The sequence below is a fragment of the Homo sapiens genome, chromosome 10, assembly GCF_000001405.40.
Source record: "Homo sapiens chromosome 10, GRCh38.p14 Primary Assembly".
NCBI lineage: Eukaryota > Metazoa > Chordata > Mammalia > Primates > Hominidae > Homo > Homo sapiens.
The window spans coordinates 99,991,080-100,010,573 of NC_000010.11; the positions used below are offsets into that span (position 1 = coordinate 99,991,080).

Sequence of the window (19,494 nt, forward strand, 5' to 3'; positions counted from 1 at the left end):
AATTTTTTTTTTTTTTTGAGATGAAGTCTCACTCTCTTGCCCAAGCTAGAGTGCAGTGGCGTGATCTCGGCTCACTGCAACCTCTGCCTCCCGGGTTCAATCGATTCTCCTGCCTCAGCCTCCTGAGTAGCTGGGACTACAGGCACGTGCCACCATGCCCGGCTGATGTTTGTATTTTTAGTAGAGACAGAGTTTCACTATGTCAGCCAGGGTGGTCTCAAACTCCTGACCTCGTGATCTGCCCACCTCGGCCTCCCAAAGTGCTGGGATTACAGGCGTGAGCCACCGCGGCCGGTCTGAGAAATTTTATACTCACTAGCAGTCACTTCCCATTTCCCCACAACATCCCCTCTCCTCTCCAGCCCTAGGCAAACACTAATCTACTTTCTCTATATATAGATTTGCCTATTTGGGACATTTCATATAAATGAAATCATGTAATATGTGGTCTTTTGTGATTGGCTTCCTAGTACAATGTTTTCAAGGTCTTCATATCATTTTAAAATAGAAATATGATCAGCTTCATCATGAAGACCTTGAAAACATTGTGCTAAGAAGCCAATCACAAAAGACCCCATATACTCTGGGAGGCCAAGGCAGGCGGATCACAAGGTCAGGAGATCGAGACCATCCTGGCTAACATGGTGAAACCCCATCTCTACTAAAAATACAAAAAGTTAGCCAGGCGTGGTGGCAGGCGCCTGTAGTCCCAGCTACTCGGGAGGCTGAGGCAGGAGAATGGTGTGAACCCAGGAGGCGAAGTTTGCAGTGAGCCGAGATTGCACCACTGCACTCCTACCTGGGTGACAGAGCGAGACTCCACCTCAAAAAAAAAAAAAAAAAGAAATATGATCAGCTTAGAGCGTATGTAAGTTAAGCTGGGAGCAGTAGCACATGCCTGTAATCTCACCACTTTAGGAGGCCAAGGGGGCAGATGGCTTGAGCTCAGGAGTTCAAGACCAGCCTGGGCAACATAGTGAGACCCCATCTCTAAAACAAAAAATCCAAAAATTGGGCGGGTGAGGTGGCATGTGCCTATTGTCCCAGCTACTTGGGAGGCTAAAGTGGGAGGACTGCTTGAGTCCAGGATGTTGAGGCTGCAGTGAGCTGAGATCACACCACTGCACTCCAGCCTGGGTGACAGAGCAAGATCCCGTCTCAAAAACAAAACAAAACAAAATGTAATAGTTAAGAGCACAGACTATAGAGCCAGACTACCTAGATCTATATGGCAGCTCCATCCCTTATTACAGCAATTACTTAACTTTTTATTAAAACAATTACTTAATTACTTACTTGCTTCTTTGGAGCAAGTTAATTCTCTGTGTCTTAACTTTCTTATCTGTAAAATGGGTTTAATAATAGAACCTGGCTGGGTAAAGTGGCTCACGCCTGTAATCCCAGCACTCTGGGAGGCTGAGGCAGGTAGATTGCCTGAATCTAGGAGTTTTTTTTTTTTTTTTTTGAGACGGAGTCTGGCTCTGTCACCCAGGCTGGAGTGCGGTGGCGTGATCTCGGCTCACTGCAAGCTCCACCTCCTGGGTTCACGCCATTCTCCTGCCTTAGCCTCCCGAGTAGCTGGGACTATAGGCGCCCGCCACTAAGCCCGGCTAATTTTTTGTGTTTTTAGTAGAGATGGGGTTTCACCGTGTTAGCCAGGATGGTCTCGATCTCATGACCTCGTGATCTACTCGCCTGGGCCTCCCAAAGTGCTGGGATTACAGGCATAAGACACCGCATCCGGCCGAGTCTAGGAGTTTTAAGACCAGACTGGGCAACATGGTGAAATCTGGTCTCTACAAAAAATACAAAAAATTAGCTGGGCATGGTGGTGTGCAACTGTAGCCCCAGCTAGTCAGGAGGCTGAGGTGGGAGGATCACTTGAGCCCAGGAGGTCAAGGCTGCAGTGAGTGGTGATTGCACCCTCTAATCTGGGCTACAGAGCAAGACCCTGACTCAACATAAAAATAAAAATAAAGATTCAACATAAAAATAAAAATAAAACCTGCTCATAGGGTTGTAATGAAATTAATATATGTAAAGCACTGAAAATAGTACCTCACAAATAGTAAGCATTACACCAGTGTCAGCTATTATCATTATCTGCATTAAAGAGAGAGGAATTGTAGATAGACACTCCCAAAACCTTTTTCATAGCATTGGGATGTATTCTGGTATTTAATATGTTTGAAAATGAATGTCTCAGGAATGGAAAATGAGCACTGACTGCTACTGGGTATGAAGTTTCTTTTGGGGGTAATGAAAATGCTCTGGAATTAGTGGTGAATGGGTGTACAACTTTGTGGATATACTAAAAACCACTGAATTATATACTTTTAAAAGGTGAATTTTATGGTATGTGAATTGTATCTCAATTTTTAAAAGTAAGTGTCTCTCCTCTTTCCGAAATCTCTATACTTCACACAAAATAGTGAAGGCAGGCCAGGCATGTTGGCTCATGCCTGTAATCCCAGCATTTTGGGAGGCCAAGGGGGTTGGATCACTTGAGGCCAGGAGTTCAAGACCAGTCTGGGCAACATAGTGAGACTGTCTCTACAAAAATTTATTAAAAATTAGCTGGGCATGCTGGTGTGCACCTGTAGTCCTAGCTACTTGGGAGGCTGAGGTGGAAGGATCGCTTAAGCCTGGGAGATTTGAGGCTGCAGTGAGCTGTGATCATGCCACTGCATTCCAGCCTGGGCAACAAAGCAAGACCCTGTCTTTAAAAAAACTGTGAAGGTAGAAAAAAAATAGAGAAGGCATACATGAATATTCTGCCTTGAAAAAAGCTAGAAATTTAAATAGCTTCCCTATTCTGCCACCCACATCCACCTCCCCTCCCCTACAAAGTTTTTCCTACACTTAATGTTTTAATAGATACTTTAAACTTGTGTTTTATGCCTGTTATAGGATGGGCATGGAGGGTAGGTAACAAACACAGTGTTTGATTAAGTGAACTTTCACTGGGTGGATGATGCTACATAAAAGAGCAAATTTAAAGAGAAGTCATATTTGCTACTGAATTGTATTAAGTAATAACTACATAACAGTTAGGAGCCCAGACTCCAGTCAGACAGAATTTAGTTTCAATTTCTGGCTCTGCCATTTATCAAGCTATGTGACCTTGGGCAAGTTACTTAAACCCCTCTGAACTTTAGTTTCCTCATCTGTAATGGAAGATAATAACAGTAATTTATTTCATAGGGCGTATAAGGATTAAATTTGATAATGTAGGTAAAACATTTAATACATTTCCTGGCAAATGGTACATACAGTACTCAGTAAATGTCAGCAATGAGAACAGTGATGACAATGGCGGGTGATGACGATTATGACCATCATCACCCAGGCGGAGGGGAACATAAATAATAGGGATGAGACAGCAGGCTCTAGGCGGGGCCAACTTCTCAAAACTGCTGCTGTCTTCTTGAGAGGAAGGGGGAGTCATGTGACTCTGTGGTTACTGGTCACCAGGACAACGCAATTGACGTGCCCCTCTACTCTAAGCTCTAAAATGAGCTGTGTCTTCACAGCAGACCCACAAGGATTTGGCAGAAGTTTATAAATGAGATCCCTGCATATGGGTCCAGGAAAGCCTTTGCCAAATGCCTTCCAGGAATAGAAGAGGGATATGAAATCAATTTACTGACTGTTCTAAAACATATCCTGTACTTCTAGGAAAAACATTGGCATTACTGTTAAATCCTTTAAACACATCAAACTATGATTCTCATCATCTTTTCTTTGGGGCTCCTGCAATAGCTTCCTAAATGGCTACCTACCAATCTTATCTGCCTTTGTCCTATTTTCCACACCCAACTAGGATTATCTTCTTAAAAATGGTTTTGTTTGTTTGTTTAAAGAGACAGGGTCTTGCTATGTTGCCCAGGCTGGACTCAAACTCCTACTCAAGTGATCCTATGGCTTCAGCCTCCCAAGCAGCTGGGCATGCGCCACTGTGCCCAGCTTGAAAACAATTTTTTTTTTTTTTTTGAGACAGTCTCACTCTGTTGCCCAGACTGGAGTGCGGTGGTGCGATGACAGCTCACTGCAGCCTTGACCTCCCAGTCTCAAGCAATCCTCCCATCTCAGCCTCCCAAGTAGCTGGGACGGCAGACGTGGGCCATCACGCTCAGCTAATTTTTGTATTTTTTGTAGAGATGGATTTCCCCATGTTGCCCAGGTTGGTCTCTTCCTGGGCTCAAGCCATCCACCCACCTTAGCCTCCTGAACTGCTGGGATTACAGGCATGATCACGGCACCTGGCAAAAACAGAAATCTTATACATCTTTACCGCCTGAAGTTCCTCTAAGGCTTCCCCATCCATCACTTGCAGGAAGTGTCTAAAACTTGTTTGCAGATCATACAAAGCTTGTCATGAGCTAGTCCCGGCATACAAGTTTGACCTCATTTCTTGACACCCTTCTACCTACCATATACACTAAGCTCTAGCCTCACCAAAATACTGGCAGGGGAATCTAGGAAAAAGACATCCAATTTTGTTTAAGTCATGACCAAACAGGCTTGTTGGGGGCATTTCATGGGGTGAGCTTTGAAGTGCTGGTGGGCCAGAGTGGTTGCAGATATGTGACTTGGAGCACCTGTGTCTTATGATGGACAGAAATAAAAGTGAATACACAGAGAGACAGGCTATTCTATAAGAATGTGACAAACAATCTGGAAGAGCAACTATATAAACACTGTCTGATTATCTTTGCCTTTTGGGGCCAGTGGCTGTTGCCAAAATAATAAACACGTCTGTCTTCAAGAAGGGACAGTGGAGTCACCCAGGTGCTGCCACGTCAGGCACAGTAGGCATTGATCTACAATGGGCAGTTCTCTGCAAGGCCACGTGGACACATTATTACAGTACAATTACATTTACAGACTGCTTTTCAAATACATTATCTCCTGTATGTATTATTGCTACCTGTGAACAGTTGTGAACATGAAGTGCTATTTTTATTGTTAGCTGATCACTGCAGGGAAAACAATCAGTAAACTAGCAAATCACCTCTCATCAACACTTACTGTGAATAATAATTATATTTTAATTTTTAAACGTTTGGAATCACAAGAAGAGAATATTCACCAAGCCTGAATCCCACCTATGGGATACAAGAATAACGTTTGAACATGTTGGTAAAATTCAACCCAAAGGCTGGGGGCGGTGGTTCACACCTGTAATCTCAGAACTTTGGGAGGCCAAGGCAGGTGGATCACCTGAGGTCAGAAGTTTGAGACCAGCCTGGCCAAAATGGCGAAACCCCGTCTCTACTAAAAATAAAAAATTGGCCAGGCATGGTGGCACCCGCCTGTAATCCCAGCTACTCAGGAGGCTGAGACACGAGGATCACTTGAAACCAGGAGGCAGCGGTTGCAGTGAGCCGAAATCGCACCACTGCAATCCAGCCTGAGTGACAAAGCGAGACTCCAACTAAATTAAAAAAATAAAATTCAACCCAAAAGATTTTCATAACTGTTTTCAACATCTTTAATCAAAGCAAAATCCTTACTTAAAATAACCAGCTAGTAAAATAATAATAAAAGTATTAAGTAGGGTTATAATAAATTTATTGAATGTCTTTCTTTTTCTAGTTTAGATTTTTAGTCTTGACTTATTAACCATTTGACTTTAAATGAAAATATTGACATTGAGATACTTTCTTCTTACACCCTTCAAATCACTAAATAAATCCAAACACAGCTGCATACTTCAACAATTTTCATTCTTTTCACTTTAATACTGGCTCACTATCCCACAGAACTATCACAGCTGACTAGAAGGTCAAGGCAGCAAAACTAAAAGAAAAATACAAGAAAACGGATTTCTTTGTGTCTACAGCAGTCCAGATGTTATAATTATTGAACAACATCTAGACACTGGTAGCAAAAAGAACAAGTAATTAAAACTATGGGTTTGAAAAACATGGATGAGTGTTATGTTCCACAGCCCATATAGCTGCTCAAAAATACGGGACTCTAACAGGCACTAACAAAGTCTGGTTTTAATGTAAACTCATCCTCCTCTTCCCTGACCCTCTAGGGATTCTCAGATGTTTCCTGATAAGCAGATCTAAACTGTAAGACAATAATATCCCAAGGAGTTTCTGGCACTCAGCCTCAGAAATCCTTAAAGCTACAAGCACTGTCTAAAAGAAGAAAACCAGGGTACTTATTCTCTTAACAATTTTCTCCCCTAACTCTAGGGAACACGAAAATGCCCTTCCACATAGCAGTTGTAAAATTCCTTCTGAGGCAGAATGTTTTCAACTAGAGATGGCCTGCTGTTGATAATGTCATTCCCTGACACCTGGAACATTTTGAAAGACTCCTCAGAAATGACCTTGGGGCCAGACCAAACTACAAGGGCCAGTGAATCCCTTCTATTTATGGAGGCCTGAATAACTTGGAACCTCCTGCAGTGACCAACAGATTAAAGGGTAAGTTAACTCACTACAGAGACAACAGCAAAGTTATATCAGACACCCTTAAAAAATCCAGAATGTGGGAAACTCTAGAGAATAAACGACCAGTTTCTTCAACAAATAAATTACAAGCAAAAAATTTAAATTTAAAAAAGGAGGCCAGGTGCGGTGGCTCATGCCTATAATCCCAGCACTTTGGAAGGCTGAGGCAGATGGATCACTTGAGCTCAGGAGTTCGAGACCAGCCTGGGCAACATGGCAAAACCATCTCTATTCCAGGCATGGTGGCTCACACCCATAATTCAAGCTACTTGGGTGGGTGGGGCACAAGAATCGCTTGAATCCAGGAGGCAAAGGCTGCAGTGAGCTGAGATCACGCCACTGCACTCTAGCCTGGGTGACAGAATGAGACTCTGTCTCAAAAAAAAAAAAAAAAAAAAAAAAAAGCTGGACGCGGTGGCTCACACCTGTAATCCCCAGCACTTTGGGAGGCCAAGGTGGGCAGATCACAAGGTCAGGAGATCAAGACCATCCTGGCTAACACAGTGAAACCCCATCTCTACTAAAAATACAAAAAATTAGCCAGGCGTGGTGGCGCACACCTGTATTCCCAGCTTCTCGGGAGGCTGAGGCAGGAGAATCGCTTGAACCCGGGAGGTGGAGGTTGCAATGAGCAGTGATCGCGCCACTGTACTCCAGCCTGGTGACAGAGCAAGACTCCGTCTCAAAAAAAAAAAAAGGAAAACCATAAATTCATAAATTAAAAGCCACTTAAGAAACACATTAACGGCCGGGCGCAGTGGCTCACGCCTGTAATCCCAACACTTTGGGAGGCTGAGGTGGGTGGATTGCCTGAGCTCAGGAGTTTGAAACCACCCTGGGCAACATGGTGAAACCCTGTCTCTACTAAACTACAAAAAACATTAGCCGGGTATAGTGGCACACGCCTGTAATGCCAGCTACTCAGGAGGCTGGGGCGGGAGAATCGCTAGAGCCCAGGAGGCAAAGGTTGCAGTGAGCCAAGATCACACCACTGCACTCCAGTTTGGGTGACAGAGTGAGACTCCGTCTCAAAAAAAAAAAAAAAAAAAGAAACACATTAACTAAATACAATACATGTACTTTTCTTGAACGCTGATTCAAACAAATCAATTGTTTAAGGAAAAATGAGGTAAGTGGGAAATTGTGAACATTGACTAGACTGTTGATTATATTAAGGAATTACTGCTGTTTTGGGGGGTGATAATAATGGTATTGTTGTCATACATAAATAAAAGGGAATCCTATTTTTTTTAAGTCATTAGAACCAAAAGGTCTATAAAACGGCAAAGGGAGGTGAAATACAGAAACCAAGTTAGCTTTTTAGATTTTAAATTGAGTGTTGGATACATGGACGTCAGATGTATTATTCTTTATTCATTTTTGTACATTTTAAATACTTTATTATGAAAAGGATTGAAAAGTCAAAGAATGCTACCTGGATGATTTCAGAGCTTTCTCCTTTCGGAGGTGCCACGTGGTTTCTGTCTGCAGCTGTCAGTGCAGAATCCAGAGAGGGGCTCCCTGAGCAGTTCCAGCTCCAGACAGAATCCTCCCTTCCCTCCACAGCTAACAGAGTGCTGGTGAGTTAGTCTCGCATACCCTGAAAAAGGACAACCTCAGTAACTGCTGGACTGTACAAGTCACTCACTGTCTTCAGGCACTCATTTACCTGGGGACCACTATGGCAAGACGGTTGAGAGCACGGGCTTTGGAGGTAAACAGACATGAGTTTGAATTTAATTCTATTCACTTAACAGTGGTACAACTTTAGGGCAAGTTTCTTACGATCTGTACCTCAGTTTCTCCATCTATAAAATGAAGATTCTAACAGCACCTTCCTCGTAAAATCATTTTACAATTAAATGACAATGCATGTAGTATGGTAGCTAAAATATGAGCTGCTGTTTTTACATTATTGTTGTTGTTACACACAGTAGTCCCCACCTTATCCGCGGTTTCACTTTCCACAGTTTCAGTTACCTATGGTCAACTGCAGTCTAAAAATAGGTGAGTACACTACTAAGACATTTTGATAGCAAGAGAGCCCACATTCACATAGCTTTTATTACAATATAGTGTTATAAGTATTCTATTTTGTTATTATTGTTGTTAATCTCTTACTGCACCTAATTTATAAATTAAACTGGATCGCAGGTAGGTACGTATAGGAAAATGCAGAGTATATGTAGGGTTGGTGCTATCCACAGTTTCACGTATTTACTGGAGGTCTTGGAATGTATACCCTGTGGAAAAGCAGGGACTACTTTATATAAGTGGATTTGGGCCAGACTTGAGGGCCAGGCAGGCAGCAGAGTTTAAAATTTACTGGGAGAGGTGGTAGGCACTGGTAAGTGTCAGGCAGTAGAATAATAAACAAAAGCGGTATTTCAGGAATATGAGCCAAGCAATGGCCTCTACAGGATAGACTGGGTGTGTGACACTGGCCTCAAGAACACCATTATGGTGTATTTGTGGCAGCTTTTTAATTTTTTAGCATTTTATATAGTGCTATTAATATAATTTGAAGACTTGCTTTAGAAAACAGTGACCAGGTATGCAAGGCATAACTGTTCATCGTAACAATTCTGAACCAGATTAGAATACTTACCGTTCAGAATACTTATTGTTCGGAAATGACAGAAAAGCTAAAAAGTTTCCACATTGCAGGGGAGGGGAGGAAAGAACCAACTAGAAAGCAGGAGGACCTGGGGTGTGAGGCTGGGGAGGTAAGCATAACTCGGCACATCCATTGCAACATTTTCTGCTGATGGGGCAGGCTCATTTATCCTAAGAGAATCACCTCATGAAAACAATGCAGAATGCACTCTGGGCCCAGACCCACAGCTAGAATGTCAGTGCTGATTATTCTCTCCCAGTCCATGTGTTTGTCAGCAACACAAACATTCACATGCTACTTTCGGGAAAATGCAGCCTCCGCAGGAGGGGCTAGAACAGATGCAGAGAGCTAATTTCTCTGTGTCTGGGTGGATGGTTTCATTTGCAATGTCAAAGACAAAAATGGGGATTCTACTAGCCTGCTGAACCTATGCATTGAAAGGAAGCTAAGAGAGCTTTCTTCTCTCACCCCTCCCTTAGATGACCCTTCTCTGGATCACAGTGTGGCTTCTTTACAGGTTGATTCATCTTATAGATTCATCTGTTGAGGGCACATCAGGTACCAGGCACTGTTCGAGGTGGGCTTGGGTTATGAACAGGGAACAAAACAAAGATTCCTGCCCTTGAAGAATTTTCTCCTTGAGGAATTGGGAAGGCAGACCATTGTGTTTTAGAAAGTGACACCTGTTATGGCAAAAAAAAAAAAAAAAAAAAAAAAAAAACCCAGCAGGGTACAGGAATGGGGAATTTCAGTTTCAACACCAAAGGACACTGGGGGAAAAAAGAGCCGGGCACGGTGGCTCACGCCTGTAATCCCAGCACTTTGGGAGGCCGAGGCGGGCAGATCACGAGGGAGGAGTTCAAGACCAGCCTGGCCAACATGGGGAAACTCCATCTCTACTAAAGAATACAAAAATTAGCCAGGTGTGGTGGTGCGTGCCTGTAATCCCAGCTACTCGGGAGGCTAAGGCAGGAGAATTGCTTGAACCCAGGAGGTGGAGGTTGCAGTGAGCCGAGATGGCACCACTGCACTCCAGCCTGGAGGACAGAGCAAGACTCCGTCTCATTAAAAAAAAAAAAAAAAAAAAAAAAAAAAAAAAAAAAAAAGGATAGAGAGTGAGAAAGGAAGGCAGGTAGACATTGAATCTCCTCACCATAGGGATGTTCACCTATGAATTCTGTCACTTCCACACTAGCAAAAAGTGATTAGGGAAACAAAACAATTGTGATGGGGTTTTGTTGTTGTTGTTTTTTTTTTTTTTTTGAGACAGGGTCTCACTCTGTTGCCCAGGCTGGAGTGCAGTGGTGCAAGCACAACTCACTGCAACCTCCACCTCCCAGGTTCAAGCAATTCTCCCACCTCAGCATCCTGAGTCGCTAGGACTACAGGCACATGCCACCATGCCCGGCTAGTTTTTGTATTTTTTGGTAGTGATGGGGTTTGGCCATGTTGTCCAGGCTGGTCTTGAACTCCTGAGCTCAAGTGATCCGCCCGCCTTGGCCTACCAAAGTGCCGGGATTACAGGTGTGAGCCACCGTACGTGGCCTGTGCTAGGTTTTCAGAGTCAAAAGAAAATAAATGACTATTTTCTCCATTCTATTTATTTTCTGAAAGATTAAAGCAAGTGTGGTCTAGATAAGGAAGGTGACAACCTGGGAGGACTGAACTGAAGCAAAGAGACCTCAAAAGTACTTCTCCCCTCCACACCCTTAAGCTAGTTTTTGGTCTGTTGGGCTTAGGGCTAGGATTGCTCCAAGTTCTGACAATGACTCTGGGCTGTTTGTGCACGGAGGCTCCCTCAGGCATAAACTGTTCCAAGAGAGGAGCAAGCTATCACCCCACTGCTACAAGTTAATTGTAAGTTTTCTATCGATTTTTCCCCAGAGAGCCAATCAAAGCAAAATGAACATGAGTTAATGATCTAGCCCTGAAAAAGGAGGGGTGATAGAAAATGATATAGTGCAATGTTAAGTGCCCTCTCCTCCTCAACATGCTCCCCCACCCCAATAAAAAACAGAGACAGAGAAATAACCAACGTTTTAGCAGGGGTTGGTGCTAAAAGGCAGGATTATAGATTCGCTTTTCTATATTTTACAGATGCTCTGTAATAAAGAGGTATAATTTCACAATTAGGAAAAAAAATGGCTAGTCTAAAAAGAAAGAAAAAGAAAGAGAGAGAAGAGCTGGCCATGAGAATTCACTGCCCAACACCCTAGCAGTTAGTGCTGCTAAACAGCTATCTATGGCTCTACTGACGAGCCACCTCAATATTTCTTGAGATATAATTTAGTAAGATTTATGCCTGAAGTAAAGACCGATCCACAGAGTAAGGAAACTATAATTTTACATATCTTATATTTACAATCATGCTGACAACAAAACTTATCATCCTGAGTATGGCTCTTTCTCTCATTTTTCACATCAGCTATTTAAATTCTGACTCGTAATGCCAGGAGGAAAAAGCTGACCTAATGGTGAAATAAACTTGTATTGGAATCTTGAGATGCTTTCCACAAATTATATATGTAGGGTTAATAAATATCTTCTGCTTGAAACAAAGTCAGCATAGGGTTAGGATTTTGGTATACAGCCTTCCTGATGCCATCTTATTTCCTCAAGGACAGATCCTGAAAAAGTACTTGGTAAGGCTTAATACCTATTTATGATGAAAACTCTCAGTAAACTAGGATTGAGGGTAATACCTTAAAACTTGATAAAGGTAACATACAAAACCTAAAACAAACATTATATGAAATAGGAAATCTTTAGACTCACTCTTTTTAAGACTGAGAACAAGACAAAGATGCCCGTTAGTGTAGCAGCTGTTTTGACACAGTTCTAGTAGTCCTGGCCAATGCTGTAAGGAAAGAAAAATGAATAAGAAGTATAAGAATGGGAAAGGGCTGGGCACGGTGGCTCAGGCCTGTAATCCCAGCACTTTGGGAGGCCAAGGCACGTGGATCACAAGGTCACATTGAGACCATCCTGGCTATCATGGTAAAACCCCATCTTTACCAAAAATACAAAAAAATTAGCCAGGCGTGGTGGCACACACCGGTAGCCCCAGCTACTCAGGAGGCTGAGGCAGGAGAATTGCTTGAACCTGGGAGGCGGAGGTTACAGTGAGCAGAGATCGAGCCACTGCACTCCAGCCTGGGCGACAGAGCGAGACTCCATTCCAAAAGAAAAACAAACAAACAAACAAAAAGAACTGATGAAGCATGTATTTAGAGATTAAAGGGACATGATGTCTACAATTAAAGGGGTCAGGGGAAAAAGCACACAAAGAAAACATACTCTTAGCACTCTTCTGTTAGCTTTAAATTATTTCCAAAATTATAAAAATGTCAGAAAAATGAGCTGAATAAACGGAAAGACACATTATATGCTCTTGGATGGAATGAGTTACTATTTCAGTGGCTCACACTTGTAATCCCAGCACACTTTGAGGTGGGAAGACCATTTGAGGCCAGGAGTTACTGGCCAGGGCCCAGCCAGGGCAACAGAGTGAGACCTCATCTCTATTAAAACAACAACAACAACAACAAAAAACTTATAAAAATATTTAGCTGGGTGTGGTGGCTGCAGTGAGCTATCATCGCACCACTGTACTCCAGCCTGGGCAACAGAGGGAGACCCTGTCTTAAAAAGAAAAATAAAAAATAAAAAAGCAACATGGCACATAAAAAATAAATAAATAAATAAAATAAGATGTTAACCCTCCTCAAATAATTTATAAACTCAATAAACTCCAATAAAAATTCCTCAAAAATATAATTTTTTGGCCAGGCACAGTGGCTCATGCCTGTAATCCAAGCACTTTGGGAGGCCAAGGCAGGAAGATTGCTGGAGCCCGGGAGTTCAAGACCGGCCTGGACAACAAAGGGCGTCCCTATCTCTAAAAAAATTACAAAAAAAAAAAAGAAAAATTAGCCAGGGATGGTGGCACATGCCTGTGGTCTCAGCTACTTGGGAGGCTAGAATGGGAGGATCACTTGAGCCTGGGAGGTTGAGGCTGCAGTGAGCCGTGATGGTGCCACTGCACTCCAGCCTGGGTAACAGAGTGACACAAGGTCTCAAAAGAAAAAATATATATATATAAATATATATGTATATATAATGTTTGGGTAGCCTGGTAAACTTATTCCAAATTTTATATGGAAAAAATAAATTTTGGTCCAGGAAGAGCTAAATAAACTTTAAGATGAATGGCTTGCTGTGCCAGTCATTAGGACATACTACAAAGTCACTGTAATAAAATTAGAGCAATTAAAAAAATGAAGTAAGAACTGACAGACTAATGGAACAAAATAAATGCTTAGGGCCAGACAAGTGTATCCATGGAAACCACAAATGAGAAAGAGATACCATAATTTCATAGAGGAAAGCATGGATTTTGTTGACATGTTATTAGAAAAACTGGGTCATTAAATGGAGAAAAATAGGGCTGGATTCCTATCTAACACATGAAAATGCGGGCCCTAGAGAGATGAAAGTCACAGACATGACCTAGGGTTCAGGAAGAGTTCCTTAAACAAAACTCCAAAAACATAAACCGCAAGTCAAAGAATTTATCTATTTGATTACATCAAAATTAAAAATATTTCTTGATCAAAGGATGGCAAAGACAAAACGAGAACTAAATGAGAAGATTTGATCAACAGATGTCAAGATGCCCAAATGAGAAGACATCTGCAAAGTCTAAACATAACAGGGAATAAATACCTATATTATAAAATCATTTCTGCAAGTCAACAGCAACAAAATAGATATCAACTCCAACAGAAAATGCCAAAGACATGAATAAGCAATTTACAGAGGAAGCTATCTGTATAAGAGATACTCAAAATCTCTAGTCATCAAAGAAATATAAATTAAAACGACAAGATATCACTTTGTGCTTACGAGATTGAAAACCATGGATAGCTGGAAAGAGGCGAGTGCTGGTGGGACATGAGGATACAGGAGTCCTCAAATATTAATACTTCCAGAGGCACAGAGACTGGGGCAGCCACTGTGGAGAGGCATCTGGCACTATTTAATCAAATTCAGTCTCTGCAAGCCTATAATCCAGCAATTCCACAGAAATATTATACAGCTTTGTAAGGAGACATGTAGGAAGATGTTCACTGCAGCAATATTTATGGTGTTAGGGGGTAGGAACAACTTGAGTAACCACTCACTACACAGAGAGCAGATAAAGCAAAACCAATGGATGCAAACAGCATGGGGTATAAATGCAGCATTCCAAAGCAGAGAATTAGACACATAACAATATGGATGGATCTTAAAAACACTACTCAGAGACCTGGCATGGTGGTTCATACCTGTAATCCCAGTACTTTGGGAGGCCAAGGCAGGCGGATCACCTGAGGTCAGGAGTTCGAGACCAGCCTGGCCAACATGGTGAAACCCCGTCTCTACTAAAATACAAAAAAATTAGCTGGGCGTGGTGGCGCATGACTGTAATTCCAGCTACTCAAGAGGCTGAGGCAGGAAATGGCTTGAACCCGGGAGGCGGAGGCTGCAGTGAGCCGAGATCTCGCCACTGTACTCCAGCCTGGGCAACAGAGTGAGACTCTTGTCTCAAAAGTCTCCAAAAAAAAAAAAAAAAAAAACCAAACTACATAAAGGAAAATGAATTACAGCATTATAAATCAAGATACATACACATAAAACAAACATTCCCACTTTGCAAGCTCCTACATAAACAAAAGGAAGCACATGCAATGCATTAAGAATGAACACCTGTGAGACATGAGATGAATGGGACAAGGGAATTCTACAACAAAACCAATCTTTTAGATTCCTTGCGTGTTATAAAAGAAAAACTCTTATGACCTACGATAAACACAGAATTGTTTCCTTCCCCAAAGTTCCCAATTTTCCAAACAACAAAAGCTACTCTGGTTGCCAGTTCTGTTGATGAGTAACAGCTTTTCATCCTTTTTCAATCAGGAAGGGAAAATTCAGGGATCAGCAAAGTACAAAAGGGATGAGCAGAGAATATTTACGAAACAGTGTTTTTGTTCTCATGACCTGACAATCTGACTGAAAAAGACCTGATTACCTCTTGATTTGGGATGATTCAGCTACAGGCAGGTTGGTGTCAAGTTTTCAGGTCATCTGAAGCGATTTACTTTCAGAACCTCTTCCCACGCAATCCTCTTGCCTCCCTGTAGAAATAATACCCTGCACTACTTGAAAACTTAAAATTCTTGAGCTAGAGAGGGCCCAGTTATTTTACAGATGAGGAAACGAAGACTCAGGGAAGAATTATGGTGTGAGTCACACAGCTCTAGCTTGAAAAGGTCTCCCTGACTCAGCCCTTGTCCTCTTCCTGTCTATTCTCAACCCAGCAGCCAGTTATCCTTTTAAAACATAAGTCATCATCAACTTCACTGTTCAAAGCTCTCCAACGGCTTCCCCCTCACTCAGTGTAAAGGCCAAAATCCTTACAATGACCTACACTGATGTGTCCTCCCCACTCCCACCCCCTCTCATCTGCTGCCACCTCCCCCCAACCCACATCCACACTGACTGGCCACCATGACCTTGCCACCCCTAACATGCCAAGCATGCTCCTGCACCAGGGTTTGGAACATGCTCATCCCACTGCCTCCTGCTCACTTCCTCATTTCCTTCCAGTCTCCCACCATGAGTTAGGCCAGGTGTGGTGGCCCATGCCTGTAATCCCAGCACTTTGGGAGGCCAAGGTGGGTGGATCGCTTGAGGCCAGGAGTTCCAGACCAGCCTGAGCGACATAGTGAAACCCCGCGTCTACTAAAAATACAAACATTGGCCCAGCGTGGTGATATAAGCCTGCAGTCCCAGCTTACTCGGGAGGCTGAGATGGGAGGATCACTTGAGCCCAGGAGGTTGAGGCTACAGTGAGCTGTGATCACGCCACTGCACTCCAGCCTGGGTGACAGAGCAAGACTCTGTCTCCAAAAAAAAAAAAGTTATCTCAGTAGAGGCTTTATTTGACCCCTCTATATAAAAAGTAAATCCCCTACCACACATATACATACACACACACACACTCTTACCCTTTCCTGACTCTAAAGTTCTCCACAGCATTATGATCCTTTGACCTATTCATTCACATATTTGTCTGTTTCCACCCAATTAGAATGTGTCTGTTCCACGAGGGCTTAGTCTGTTTTGTTCAAACTGGTTCCCCCTCCCAGCACCCACAGCATACACAAGTGCTACCACGACCCCGGCACACACAGGTGCCCCCCACAAGCACATACAGGTGTTCCTCCTCCCGGCACACACAGGTGCCCACCCTCTCAGCACACACAGGTGCTCAGTGAGAATGTGTTCAGTGAATAAACAAGTAAGGACCAAAAGCCATGCCTTCAGACTCCTCACACAATGCCCTATGTGCCTGCCCTCAAGTGCTGGTTCAATTCTTGGTGGTCACGTCCTTCAGTCAGAAGAAAAGATCTAGAAATCTAAAAATGAAATAATACATTTTAGCTACTCTATTTCACCTCCCACAGCTGCCTTTCATAGCAGGGAGGATAAAGAACACAACTAAAAGTTAACATCTTGGTTTAACGGCTCTTTCATTAAAGAGCTCATTTTACTGCTGCTACTTAAGAACTTTCTGCCTTTCCAGGCAAGAAACTAATAACTCATAATTAACTCCTGACCAACAAGACTAAGTTAACCAATCTTGAAAATTAGCTTATTCAGATGTTTTCCAGAGTGTGTATAATAAGAAACTATTTCATATTAATTGAATTGGTGTTGCAAAACTTTCCAGAAGTATTCTGAATGAATTCTAAGGATGCTTTGGCAGATGATCAAGCACATTCGAGAATTTCACAGGAGATAATCTCGTAATAATACCATGTTGTAGGTAATCCATTAGCTGACTCTAGAAACAACAGAATACTAAACCTAGAAAATAAGCCAAAAGCCAGGCTCGGTGGCTCACGCCTGTAATCCCAGCATTTTGGGAGGCTGAGGCAGGCGGATCACCTGAAGTCAGGAGCCAGAAAAGAGGAAGAGATTGATGGAACGTTGAGGGAAATGCCCTGCCTTGGGGCTGCAAGACAAATAAATAACTGGTGCATATTTAAACAGATCGTTTATGAAGATTATTATTATCTCAGCCAAAAAATACACAATATGAACACTGTATAAAAGTCAATTTATCACATTCTCTGAGTCAGACTGTTCTTGGCTTATTGCAAAAGTTATCAGTGCACTGCACGAACCCCGTTCCCAAGCCAGACTTGAGCTACTCTCCACCCTCCAGAAATCACTCCATTGCAGCCTCTGAATTTAAGTGAATTTAACACGTAAGTATCTGCAATTTGAAAAGTCACTTTTCACTTATTTTAGCCCAACCCTGATAAAGTGACTGAGAGAGCTGAGAATAATGAATTTGAAGATTCGCTATGCCCCATTATGCAGAATTCTAAAAATCTTTTCTTCTTAAAACATTTTTATTATCACAATGAGTGACGTGTTTCAAGTTAACATGTAAAATCGGAGAACTCGAGACAGAAGAGGACCTTAGAGATCCTTTAATTCAATATTTTAGAGAAAAATGGGTAGAGGATAAACTAACTTGCTGATCACCGTGTCGGTATTCATGCTGTGAAAGTAATAAACGGAACACCAACTGAGAAATGATCCCCGAATGCTGTCAGGTACTTCAGTCTTGCAAAAACTACTACAGATTAATCAGTCCTGCTCATCCGTTTAACTCAGCTATGTAAACAAGCAGAGCTAGACTATGCTCAAACCCTAAATATTAGCGTTACCACTCGCCTGCCACATACTACAGCATCATTAGTTATGAAAGTGTTTTAATACAAGATCTTCATGTTTGTGTAAAAGAATTACTATAAAACAGACCTAAAGGCAAGTTACCCATATTCCAGAATAAGTGAGTGCCAAAAATATTCACCCTTCATTACAGTACAAATGAGACAGGCAGTAATAATGAGACTGCATTTAAAGTTGTTTTTGCACTTAAAATTTAAGTCTATACTCCTCATCTGCATCAGGCCCCGGCCTGTTTGGTAACCTCAATATTCCTTTACTAAAGTGACAGCATCACCACCCTTTGAGACACAGATGCCCGGTGGACATCTGTGCCTGCAGCAGGAACGCGGGTGTCCGCGGGTTTCTGCAAAACTCCACCATGACCAAAGCTGCATCTCCAGCTGAACAGGTCTAACCCTTGCTTCGGAAGCCATCTGTCCCTGTCTCCCTGACACAGAATCACGGCCTCCTATGCCGTAAGGCTCCGAACATCTGTAAAATCAGCGGGGTGGACTAACGCAGAATTCTTTTTCCAGCTCTCAAAATTCCGCCTCATTGCCGGAGTGGCAGGGCGGTGCAGAGAAAGAGCCCTGGGCTTGACACCGCTTGAAAAGCCCACGTTCGCATTGCTCTGACCACCCCTCCAACTCCCGGGGACTACAGGAGTGCGAGGGGGCCCGCTGCGCCCCACTGTCCCTCGCGGGCTCCTGGCCCACAGAGCGCAGCACAGCGCCGCCGCTGGGAAAGGGCCGATACAGGCCTAGCCGCGCGGCGCGGCGCGGCGCGTCTCTCGGGGTGCGGGTCCCCTCCGCCCGCGGCCCCGGACCGCGACCCCCGCTCCCCGCCCGGCCCCCGCCCGGCTCCGGCCTGGCCCGGCCTCTGACCTGCTTTCCGCCGCCCGGCGGTCCCTCGGCGCGGCAGGCAGTTGCAGCCGCCAGTCCCCAGCCCGCTGTCACCTCCGCCCCTGGAAGCGGCGGGCGGGTCGATCCCGTGTGAGTCAGCGCGCCGCCCCGCCTCCCGCTCAGGCTTCCGCCTCTGCCGGCGCGGTCCGCGCGGCCCCGGGGGCGCCAAGCTCCGCTGCCCGCGCGCCCACCTCTCCGGCGCCCGCCCCGCGCTCGCGCCCCCTGGCGGCCGGCCCGGCCCTGCTCGCCTCGCGACGTCAGAGGGGCGTCGCTCCCAGAACGGCCACCGGGGAAACTGAGGCACGGGGGCCCGCCCCCGCCGCAGCGCGCCGACACGGCTCGTCGGGCCTCGGCCTCACGCAGTCCTACGTGCAGCCCCGGCTGCGGACAAGTTCCTCCACTCTTGCTGTTCCCCCACTCCCGACACCACCCTCCAACCTAGAAAAAAGTCAAAATTCCATTCAGAGAAGTCCAAGTCGATTCCTGTCTGCGTGTGATGCTGTCCTCTTTGCTACCCCGAGGCAGTTTCCCTTATTATGCCACACAATACTCGCTGGGGTTCGCCTCTATCTGTCCCATTTTTTTCTGAGGAAAGTCTCTCAGGACATCTTTGAGAATTTGAGAGCAAGAAATGACAGAAGCAAGAACTGGGCAGGGCTGTCAGAACTCCTCCTCCGACTCAGTTTCTGAATCCCCGCAGTATTCCCGTTGTTTGTTT

At 44.0% G+C, this 19,494-nt stretch overlaps 1 protein-coding gene across 5 annotated transcripts in view, besides 3 other annotated features; it reads right to left on the minus strand.

Moving 5' to 3' along the window:
* Positions 1-18,868, minus strand: part of DNMBP (dynamin binding protein) — a 134,377-nt gene extending 115,509 nt beyond the window's left edge. For 3 of the 5 annotated variants that reach the window (NR_199816.1, NM_001441288.1, NM_015221.4), the window contains exon 1: positions 18,759-18,868. The gene's annotated coding sequence lies outside the window, so the exon portion shown is untranslated. Of the gene's footprint in view, positions 1-11,862; positions 11,945-15,157; positions 18,505-18,758 lie in introns of those variants that run through there. The other 2 variants (XM_047424910.1, NM_001441287.1) reach the window with 2 other exon arrangements.
* Positions 15,295-15,374: an enhancer, noted in NCBI's record as "active region_3876". NCBI's record gives its function as "activates an Ori minimal core promoter by ATAC-STARR-seq in GM12878 lymphoblastoid cells {active_cell/tissue: GM12878}" and the evidence as "EXISTENCE:reporter gene assay evidence [ECO:0000049][PMID:35858748]".
* Positions 15,925-15,984: an enhancer, noted in NCBI's record as "active region_3877". NCBI's record gives its function as "activates an Ori minimal core promoter by ATAC-STARR-seq in GM12878 lymphoblastoid cells {active_cell/tissue: GM12878}" and the evidence as "EXISTENCE:reporter gene assay evidence [ECO:0000049][PMID:35858748]".
* Positions 18,641-19,160: a silencer, noted in NCBI's record as "silent region_2699". NCBI's record gives its function as "represses an Ori minimal core promoter by ATAC-STARR-seq in GM12878 lymphoblastoid cells {active_cell/tissue: GM12878}" and the evidence as "EXISTENCE:reporter gene assay evidence [ECO:0000049][PMID:35858748]".